The sequence below is a fragment of the Homo sapiens genome, chromosome 8, assembly GCF_000001405.40.
Source record: "Homo sapiens chromosome 8, GRCh38.p14 Primary Assembly".
In the NCBI taxonomy this organism is placed as follows: domain Eukaryota; kingdom Metazoa; phylum Chordata; class Mammalia; order Primates; family Hominidae; genus Homo; species Homo sapiens.
Genome location: NC_000008.11, coordinates 16,199,185 through 16,211,002, shown reverse-complemented (window position 1 = coordinate 16,211,002; position 11,818 = coordinate 16,199,185). Strand labels below are relative to the sequence as shown.

Genomic DNA, 11,818 nt, shown 5'->3' with positions numbered 1-11,818 from the left:
AATGTTCTCCAACTCGCTGTCTTCATATCCTTACTTCCCTGCTTTTATTCTGTCCTTCTCAGCTATAGCAATTCTACATATGATGTAAGAGTCAATAACTAGCCATGTTTTGCTCTGACCAAATTATCAATGACCTCTTCATAGCATTTCCTGTGTCAACTAACCGGGCATTAACCATATAGGTATTAATTATGTAGAAATAGGTATAATAATAACATACATATTTGTATACTATTTTAGTTTGCTAAGAGCCTTTATATGTTTTCTAATTTGATTGTCACAAATGAATACAGTCATGACTGCATGCATGAACAAATTAATGGATGTCATTAATATGTGGAAAGCAATAAATATATGGTAATTGTTTAGAAAACTTCTTTTAACTTAAGCTCTGATAATGTTTAGTTCAACCTAATGCATTTTGAATCTATTACTGTTGAAAAGTGAAACAGTGTTAGGAAAATTACAAGGTCCAGTGTCTACCCTCAATTTCTAAATGAGAGTAAAAGTCATAGAGTTAGACTTGGATTTAAACCTACCAAGGTCACCTAGGAGCTCTCATAATTAGGGGAATGGATTGTTTTTCTTCTCTGAAATAAAATTTCCCTTCTAGCAGTAACGAACACATGGATTTTACCAAAAATTAATAAGATTGAAAAATCTATATCAAAAACAGGCTATACTATTTTTTTTTTTTTTTTTTTTAAGATGGAGTTTCACTCTTGTCGCCCAGGCTAGAGTGCAATGGCTCAATCTCAGCTCACTGCAACCTCCACGATTCTCCTGCCTCAGCCTCCCAAGTAAGTGGGATTACTAGGTAATTTTTGTATTTTAAGTAGAGATGGGGTTTCACCATGTTGGCCAGGCTGGTCTGGAACTCCTGACCTCAAGTGATCTACCCACCTTGGCCTCCCAAAGTGTGTACAATCTTTTATCTTTAATTAACATTTATAATTTAACATTTGTTAACATAATTTTTGGGCTGTTATCTAAGTTTTTAATTGTATGTGTCCTGAGTCCATTTTCCTTATCAGCACCTGAAGATGACGTTCTTTTCAGAGGTCCTGTTCAATAAAATGGAGAAAATATTTAGAAGTTTCTCTGTATATAGCTGAATAATAGAGTCTCATTGATGTTGGTGCAATGATGATGGTGTGTGATCCATTAGGTTCTCTCTAGCTAAGTAATGCTCCTGTACACCAACCTCACAGCATCTGTCGTCCAAATTTCTTTCTCAGCTAAATTGCAAATTAGTACATATTCTGAACCTTCCGGTCATTTTTTCAAGTAGTCAAGCCTCAAATACCAACAGTCTATATTACCTTTTATTGAGCTGATATGCCTTCTCATGATCTTAGGATTCTGTCACTAGAGAAGGGCTTAAAAGTAAGCTTCTTTCTCAGACATGCAAATTACAGTGCAGATGGTTAAGTGCACCTCGTTATGCTATCTTTGGAAAAGACAAGGAGAATGGTGACCCATAGAATTAATAATAGGTGAAACAAATTAAGCAATAACTTGCCAGGCCAAAAAAAACCAAAAAAACAAAAAACAAATAAAGTGAGCATCATAAGTAGAAGAAATTTTATTCCACACACAGTGAGGGTTGCACATGAATGTAGAAAAGAGAAGAGTTATAAAAAATGTAAAAATTCTCTTCTCATGTGGCTTTTCAAATCTCTAGGGAAAAAATAAACCATTTCATAAGCAATGAGGGAGAATCTGACTATCATTTGTGGAAGAAAAACTAGACCCTTCCTCTACACTAACCAAGATTAGAAAAGAAATACAAACACACTAGAATAAATGTTAATTCATCAATTTTATTACCTAATTTTGACATGTGATATCAATACAGAAAGGTAAATGAAATGATACGTACAGTTTAAGAAATTATTATAAAATAAACAACTATGGAACCACTCAGATCCAGAAATAGATCAGCGGAAATAGATGGGCTCCCAGAAGCCCATCATCTGCTCCTCCCCAATTACAACGCCATCCCTTCGCAGGAGGTAACTACTGGTACACCTTTTGTGATGAGCATGTACTTCAGTGTTTCTTTGGCTTTATCACATCTATGCATCCCTAAACAGTTCTATTTTCAACTTTATGTGTTTTGTAAGCATTGCTTCATTGTTTTCAAAATTATAGCCAGGAGATTGAGTTACACTGTTTTCTACATCTTTATTTTGCACATTTTCATTGCTGAGTAATATCCCATTAAAACAATATACTAAAACAGTAATCCTCAAAGTGTGGTCGGCTGATCTCTTGTGTTCTCAAATCTTTTTCAGGGGGTCCACAAGGTCAGAACTATTTTTATTATAATACTATAATGCTATTTGACTTTTTTTATTGTTTCATTTGCATGAATGTCGCAAAGTAACAAAGCAGGTAACACAGCTTCTGACTTAACATGAATCAATGCAGTGGCAACAAACCGTCACAGTAGCCACCATGCAATAGTTTAAACTGTGAACTAAACTCATGACTTTTTCATGAAACACTATTTTTACTAAAATCATCACTGACAGTTGCGTGTAATCCCAACACTTTGGGAGGTCAAGGCTGTTGGATCACTTAAGCCCAGGAGTTCAAGACCAGTTTAGGCAACATGGCAAAACCCTGTCTCTACAAACAAACAAAACGAAAATTACCCCGGCACGGTGGTGCATACCCATAGTTCTAGCTACTTGAGAGGCCACGGCAGAAGGATCACCTGAGTCCAGGGAGGTCGAGGCTGCAGTGAGCCATGGTCGTGCCACTGCACTCCGGTCTGGGGGATAGAGTAAGACCGCAACTCGAACAAAACAAAAACAGATAGATAGATAGATAGATAGATAGATAGATAGATAGATAGATAGATAGATACATACATACATACATACATACATACATACAAACATACATAGATAGACACACACATATTCTCAAGTCTAAACTATATATATAATGTATATAATATATGTAATTTCTAATGAGATAAATAATTATATGAATCAGTGCACTACAATATATTTTAATTTCATTCTTAAGTGGTACTTGGGTTTTTTCCAATAGGGTTGTAACGAACATTTCTTTGAAGATTATGGTACATGTTTCTTGGTACACATGTGCAAAAATTTCTCTGAGATACTTACCTAGAAGCAAAATTACTGAATTACCTTATCTCCTATTGCTAGGTAATTATTTTTAGAAATACTTTATATAGTCTGAATACTAGGCCTTTTCACATTAGGTATATTATGAGTATTTTCTCTCATTCTGTTTTTTTCTGTCAATTTTTCTTACTAAAACATTGTTTATATGATACTGAGTTAGGAAAGATCCTTTCCAAAAAAAAAATAAGGGCAGGAAATAAAACCATAGAAGATTGATAAATCTGAGTACAAGGATTTTTTAAAAAATCATATTATTAAAATACCAATATACATAGTCTTCGGAGGGTGTATGTGTCAAGGAATTTATCCATTTCCTCTAGAATTTCTAGTTTATTTGCGTAGAGGTGTTTATAGTATTCTCTGATGGTAGTTTGTATTTCTGTGGGATTGGTGGTGATATCCCTTTTATCATTTTTCATTGCATCTATTTCATTCTTCTCTTTTCTTCTTTATTAGTCTTGCTAGTGGTCTATTAATTTGTTGATCTTTTCAAAAAACCAGCTCCTGGATTCATTGATTTTTTGAAGGGTTTTTTTGTGTCTCTATGTCCTTCAGTTCTGCTCTGATTTTAGTTATTTCTTGCCTTCTGCTAGCTTTTGAATGTGTTTGCTCTTGCTTCTCTGGTTCTTTTAATTGTGATGTTAGGGTGTCCACTTTAGATCTTTCCTGCTTTCTCTTGTGGGCATTAGTGCTATAAATTTCCCTCTACACACTGCTTTAAATGTGTCCCAGAGATTCTGGTATGTTGTGTCTTTGTTCTCGTTGGTTTCAAAGATCATCTTTATTTCTGCTTTCATTTCATTATGTACCCAGTAGTCATTCAGGAGCAGGTTGTTCAGTTTCCATGTAGTTGAGTGGTTTTGAGTGAGTTTCTTAATCCTGAGTTCTAGTTTGATTGCACTGTGGTCTGAGAGACAGTGTGTTATAATTTCTGTTCTTTTACATTTGCTGAGGAGTGCTTTACTTCTAAATAAGTGGTCAATTTTGGAATAAGTGGGGTGTGGTGCTGAGAAGCATGTATATTCTGTTGATTTGGGGTGGAGAGTTCTGTAGATGTCTATTAGGTCCACTTGGTGCAGACCTGAGTTCAATTCCTGGATATCCTTGTTAATTTTCTGTCTCGTTGATGTGTCTAATGTTGACAGTGGGGTGTTAAAGTCTCCCATTATTATTGTGTGGGAGTCTAAGTCTCTTTGTAGGTCTCTAAGGAGTTGCTTTATGAATCTGGGTACTCCTGTATTGGGTGCATATATATTTAGGATAGTTAGCTCTTCTTGTTGAATTGATCCCTTTACCATTATGTAATAGCCTTCTTTGTCTGTTTTGATCTTTGTTGGTTTAAAGTCTGTTTTATCCAAGACTAGGATTGCAACCCCTGCCTTTTTTTGTTTTCCATTTGCTTGGTAGATCTTCCTCCGTCCTTTTATTTTGAGCCTATGTGTGTCTCTGCACGTGAGATGGGTTTCCTGAATACAGCACACTGATAGGTCTTGACTCTTTATCCAATTTGCCAGTCTGTGTCTTTTAATTGGAGCATTTAGCCCATTTACATTTAAGGTTAATATTGTTATGTGTGAATTTGATCCTGTCATTATGATGTTAGCTGGTTATTTTGCTCGTTAGTTGATGCAGTTTCTTCCTAGCCTCGATGGTCTTTACAGTTTGGCATGTTTTTGCAGTGGCGGGTACCAGTTTTTCCTTTCCATGTTTAGTGCTTCCTTCAGGAGCTCTTGTAGGGTAGGCCTGGTGGTGACAAAATCTCTCAACATTTGCTTGTCTGTAAAGTATTTTATTTCTCCTTCACTTATGAAGTTTAGTTTGGCTGGATATGAAATTCTGAGTTGAAAATTCTTTCCTTTAAGAATGTTGAATATTGGCCCCCACTCTCTTCTGGCTTGTAGAGTTTCTGCCGAGAGAGAGCCACTGTTAGTCTGATGGGCTTCCCTTTGTGGGTAACCCGACCTTTCTCTCTGGCTGCCCTTAACATTTTTTCCTTCGTTTGAACTTTAGTGAATCTGACAATTATGTGTCTTGGAGTTGCTCTTCTCAAGGAGTATCTTTGTGTCGTTCTCTGTATTTCCTGAATTTGAATGTTGGCCTGCCTTGCTAGGTTGGGGAAGTTCTCCTGGATAATATCATGAAGAGTGTTTTCCAAGTTGGTTGCATTCTCCCTGTCACTTTCAGGTACACCAATCAGACGTAGATTTGATCTTTTCACATTGTCCCATATTTCTTGGAGGCTTTGTTCATTTCTTTTTATTCTTTTTTCTCTAAACTTCTCTTCTCACTTCATTTCATTCATTTGATCTTCAATCACTGAAACCTTTTCTTCCAGTTGATCGAATTGGCTACTGAAGCTTGTGCATTCGTCACGTAGTTCTCGTGGTGTGGTTTTCAGCTCCATCGGGTCCTTTAAGGACTCCTCTGCATTGGTTATTCTAGTTAGCCATTCATCTGATCTTTTTTCATGGTTTTTAAGTTCTTTGCGATGGGTTCGAACTTCCTCCTTTAGCTCACAGAAGTTTGATTGTCTGAAGCCTTCTTCTCTCAACTCGTCAAAGTCATTCTCTGTCCAGCTTTGTTCCATTGCTGGTGAGGAGCTGCGTTCCTTTGGAGGAGGAGAGGTGCTCTGATTTTTAGAATTTCCAGTTTTTCTGTTCTGTTTTTTCTTCATCTTTGTGGTTTTATCTACCTTTGGTCTTTGATGATGGTGACGTACAGATGGGGTTTTGGTGTGGATGTCCTTTCTGTTTGTTAATTTTCCTTTTAACAGGCAGGACCCTCAGCTGCAGTTCTGTTGGAGTTTGCTGGAGGTCCACTCCAGTCCCTGTTTGCCTGGGTATCAGCAGCGGAGGCTGCCGAACAGCGAATATTGCTGAGCAGCAAATATTGCTGTCTGATTGTTCCTCTGGAGGTTTCGTCTCAGAGGGGTACCCAGCCATGTGAAGTGTCAGTCTGCTCCTACTGGGGGGTGCCTCCCAGATAGGCTACTCAGGGGTCAGGGACCCACTTGAGGAGGCAGTCTGTCCGTTCTCAGATCTCAAACTCCGTGCTGGGAGAACTACTGCTCTCTTCAAAACTGTCAGACAGGGACATTTAAGTCTGCAGAGGTTTCTGCTGCCTTTTGTTCAGCTATGCCCTGCCCCGAGAAGTGGAGTCTACAGAGGTAGGCAGGCCTCCTTGAGCTGCAGTTGGCTGCACACAGTTCGAGCTTCCCGGCTGCTTTGTTTACCTACTCAAGCCTCAGCAATGGCAGGCGCCCCTCCCCCAGCCTCACTGCCACCTTGCAGTTTGATCTCAGACTATTGTGCTAGCAACGAGCAAGGCTCCATGGGTGTGGGACCCTCTGAGCCAGGCGCGGGATATAATCTCCTGGTGTGCTGTTTGCTAAGACCATTGGAAAAACACAGTATTAGTGTGGGAGTGACCTGATTTTCCAGGTGCCGTCTGTCACAGCTTTGCTTGGCTAGGAAAGGGAATTCCTGACCCCTTGCGCTTCCCAGGTGAGGCGATGCCTCACCCTGATTCGGCTCACGCTGGGTGTGCTGCACCCACTGTCCTGCACCCACTGTCTGACAAGCTCCAGTGAGATGAACCCGGTACCTCAGTTAGAAATACAGAGATCTCCTGTCTTCTGTGTCGCTCATGCTGGGAGCTGTAGACTGGAGCTGTTCCTGTTTGGCCATCTTGGACTTATCACCATTTGATTCAAGTGTTTTGAGAAGCTTAAATGTATTTTTAGAAGGAAATTATTTTATTCAATCCAGTGATAGATACAACAATAACATTTCCACAATTTTGTTTTAGTAAATAACAAAAACAATGACTTGAGTGCCTGTGATTTATAACAAAAGGGTATTCTTTTTCACAGAATCTATGAATTTCATAAAGTTTATTTCATTTTAAAGATATTTCAAAACATTTCTGAGAGTTCCTTAAAACTCATTTTGTTTATTTCTTTTAATATTACTGAAGAGGAGTTAATGTTGGCTTTATAATTTCAAATTTTAATATCTTAGTTTACTGTTTACAATTTTACAATACATTTATAGATGGAATACTAAAGGGTCAGGCATGATTATATATATATTTTTAACGAACTTAATTCTGAGAGGTTCTTTTCTAATCCTGATTTTAGTTTTCAGATGTCACACAATTAGTGAATTCCAGAGGCAGGATTCTTCATTGTTATTCATAAAAAATTTTGGTATAAAAATGAATGAATTATAAAATATAAAAATGTTTGGTTCCTGGAAAACATTGAGATTCTACAATGCATTTCTTATGTAAATAACACTGTTTCTTTATTGAAATAGTTTTCTACTAGCTGATTTTAGAGGCCCTACCTTGCTGATTTTTCATGTTGTATGAATATAGCAAGGGATTTGGATGCAAGGAGTTTATTTCAAGATGTAAATATAATCATGTCAGTAACCAGTTTTCTAACAATTCTCCTTAATCTGCCTTAGCTAGTAGTTATTCTACAAATTTAAGAAATGCAGTGTTTTTGTTATAGATTTTAAAGTTAGCCTGGAACATTTGATACACTAGTCTCCACTACTGTAAAACAAAATAAAATGAACAAATAAACAAAAATCTCTTCCATATGATGTAAAAACAGCCAGAGAAGACTCTTTGGTTAAGATAGTTTCATGTGAAGTAATGTGTAAATTCGCTGTAAGCATTATGACAGACAGGAAAGAACTAATTTACATTTTGAGAAAGCTTCTGCCTTGCAAAGGAATTTTCTTAAGATAATTTGTATTCATATCTAAATAATAAAAGGCTCAAGATTAAGCACTGGAATTGCCATTTATAGTGTAAAGAAAAATGCAATCTTGAGCCATTTATGTTAGTTCCATTTTTTTTTTTTATTTTTCTGAATCATCATCTTCTTTGAACAATTATTCAAAAGATAGTGTTTTCTTTTTGTCCTTTGTGGGGTATCCTGCGCTTTGGCTGATGATTAAAAACCTGCCATTTCCTTTCATCCTCATTAGCATACTCATTGTTCTCCTTAGTTGGGTGCTTTTTGGATGCCATCCTTGTCCTGCAGAGAGCTGCAGGATTCCATCAGATCTGTTCAGGCACCTGAGCCTAATTAAGGAAGTTCTCACTTCTCTTTTTATCATAGATTTGATAAATGAGGATGTTTACAGCTAAGTGTCTTAGGATTGAGTGAATACTTTAAAATAGATCAATGCTAAAGATCATAAAGCATATCACATATCCACATTACATATCTAATAAAGAGAAATAGAACATGACACATTTTCATGTAAGAATCTGTTTATTCATAGTGCCCATGATGTGGTAGAGACTGCATGCCATTTATAGCGTTATAGTTGGAGTAGTGTAAACTGCTACATTGTGAACTATAACAACTGAACTGAAAAAGAAAAGAACAAAGACAGAAACAGTCCTGGACAATGGAAATTAAAGAAGAGTGATTTGTATTCTTTTGATCCTCCGGTTTCTCTATGTCGGCTTCTCTTTGGTTACCTCAAGTATCATTAGTATTACAGTTGTAAGAACTCTGGCTAATGTAAGCAGCAAAGAAATGTGCTGGAAGAATATCTGATCCCTTAGAAAATCATTGGGGAGGCTGAAGAGCCCAGCTAGAGAAAAGGGCATGCAGGAAGCAAAGAATGCTAAGCACACAAGCCCGGAGCCTCCTCAAGTTAAGGAGGTTGCTAATAGCACGACCAGCACAGGATGTGAGATAATCAGTCTTCCACTGGACTCTCATTCTGGACATTGCTATGAGTTCTTTATTACCTATTTTAACATCTTCGTATTATTTTTTCAAGACTCAAAATCCAGGCAGGATTAAATAGTTGGCTTGACCCAGGTCACAGCCTACACTGCAGTTATCAAGGAACAGACAGAGAGCCCTCGGTGCTGTCAGCCTTGTGATGGGGAAATGGACCCTGCTTCCCCAAAAGGCATTTGCAAGGAGGGATTTGAAACTGGAAGGATCTCAAGTGTTTAGTCGAAAGACCATGGCCCATGTCAGTCATCACTGTCATATCCACAGATAATAGAGTGTTGGAAAGAAGCTGAGAAACAACCTGGGTTCTATTCAAATTCAGTTCTTAGTGTTGTGTGACCTTCTCTAAGCCTGGGTGTCCTCAGTTTTAAACTGGGATAATATTGTTTTGCCCAAAATATCTCATTTCATTGTAAAGAGTGAAATGAGATAATTTATGCAAGGTTTCTTTCCATTTCTTTTCATTCCAAAAAATTTATAGGTAGTAATGGTCTACCTGTGTGAGCAAAATACAAAAAAAAAAGGAAGAAGTTAATAAGTTAATAATAACCATTTATTTGCTAAGAAATATATAAATGTGAGGTATGAGGTATTATCAGCAACGTTTTTATTTAAAAATATATAGAAAAGATATATATTTATTTTTCATTGTTTGAAAGTTAAGACAAATGGATGAAAAAAACAGTGCTATGATAAATATGAAACAATTAGGAGAGCAGAAAATTAATGTTGAGGTATTCCCCTGCATTGGGGATCTTTCTCCCAATCCAACTATCCATTTTTGTGTGTGAGGGAGTTGACATTCTTATAAAACCCCAACTGTAGAACGAAGTGACTGGCCTAACAATGGCTCTTTCACCGAACGTGACCCATCAGAACTAATTCCTAAAGCTTTTAAACTTAGAACCATCTGTAAAATGTGCTGCTGGTCAGAAGCAGTACTGTGTGGTATGCATCATTGTTGAAGATATATTCAGTGTGTCTGCTCATTGTGGTGCTAGGGTAATCCCTGAAGCAGGAAAGGAAAGTCCACATCTTTAGCAAGTACTTTTTCCATAGAGGATTAAACATTCCTTCCTGGAAGAGATCAGGTGTAATCACTGTGCTGCCAGATTACTGGCTGGGCCATCTCAGGAGTTTTCAGTATTTGTCTCTGCTATTTGCATATTAGAAACTCAGGAGTACCAGTATCCAGACCAGCTTGCTGAGTTTTCAGCCTCTGCTATTTGCATTTTGGAAACTCAGGAGCACCAGTATCCAGATTGTCTTGTTGAGAAAAGCCTATGTTGTTCAGCCCATGAACCACTTCAGTCTCCTCTGCATGGCCATTTCCCATATGCTATGGCTAGGGCAAAAGCTGACTGACTTTGACCAGATAGGTCATCTTGTCAGCCAGATTATCGACTCTACATAGTGGATGCTGTCTAGTGGACATTTGCACAGAAAGTGGATGTTTTCACATTGTTGCCCATTTTGAGAGTTTCAGCCACATATCATTACCCCAGAATCGCAATCTTGCAACATTAACATTTGATGGTGACCCTTATGTCACCAGTTCTCCCAGAGATGCAGTATTGTTTTCGGATTACCATCCTGGTGGGGAGGGGTCGTTTCAGTGGCTTCCATTTAGTCCTTCTACCATAAGAGTTTTCACTCCATATATCAGGAAACGAATATGGATTCTGCCAATAATTAAATATATATCTTCTTAGTTCGCATTTTGTATCTGTAGAAATAACAGCCAGTTGGGTCTACAGTTCCGTAGGATTTACTATGAGATGCAGTTGGGTCAAGACTTTCCATAGTGCTCAGGATGGTCATAGTTCTGAGCCTCAATTAATGAGCCCCAGTACATAGCTTTGTTTTCTCACTGAGATGCCCTCTAGACATGGCTTCAAGGAAGGTTTTATAATATAACCCTTGTTGTGAGCTGAAATGTGGCCCCCAAATCCTAGCCCTGAACATCTCAGGATGTGACTGACTGTATTTCGAGATGAGACCTTTATAGAGGTAATTAAGCTAAAATGAGGCCATTAGGGTGAGTCACACTCCAATCTGACTAGTGTCCTTATAAGATGAGGAAATTTGAACACATTAAAAACACACACCAGGGGCACTCATGCACGGAGTGACAACCACATGAAGAAACAGAAAGAATGCAGGAATCTGCAGGCCAAGGAGAGGGGTCTCAGGGGAAGCCAGAGCTGCTGACACCTTGCTGTCGGTCTTTGAGACTCCAGAATTGTAAGATATAAATTTCTGATTTTTAAGCCACTCAGCCTGAGGTATTTTGTTGTGGCACCCAAGCAAATTAATACAATTCTGCTGCTATAACAAAGCAGCACTAACTTAAGTGCTGCATATATATATATATATATATATATATATATATATATATGATAACACAAATGAGTTATCTTATATTTCTACAGGTTAGATGTCCAAATGTGTCACCCTGGGCTAAAATCAAGTTGTCAACGTGGCTGCATTCCTTTCTGGATACTCTAGGAGAAAATCTATTTCTCTGCCCTTTCCAGCTTCTAGAGGCCACCCACATCCTTTGTTCTGTGGTCTTCTTTCTTGCATCATCAAAGTCAGCAACCTTGCATCGTTCTGGCCATTCTTCCCCTCATTACATTATTTTCTCTGAATCTCTTCTGCCTCCCTCTGCTGCTTTTAAAGATCCTTGTGACTGAATTGGACTCACTCATATAATCCAGAGTAACTTCCCTCTTTTAATGTCATCTGAACGAGCCCATTGTAACCATAATTCCATGTGTAATCTTAGTTTTCCTTTGCCCTGTAATGTAATATTGTTCTGGGAATTCAGATGTGGACACCTTTGTGAGGAGGGCATTAGTCTGCCTACCCCAGTCCTAATAGC

General features: G+C 38.0%; 1 annotated feature.

Annotated features, from left to right (window-relative positions):
* Positions 7,934-8,438: an enhancer, noted in NCBI's record as "OCT4-NANOG hESC enhancer chr8:16060074-16060578 (GRCh37/hg19 assembly coordinates)". NCBI's record gives its function as "activates a minimal SCP1, AML or CMV promoter by ChIP-STARR-seq in naive H9 embryonic stem cells {active_cell/tissue: H9 hESC(naive)}" and the evidence as "EXISTENCE:reporter gene assay evidence [ECO:0000049][PMID:30033119]".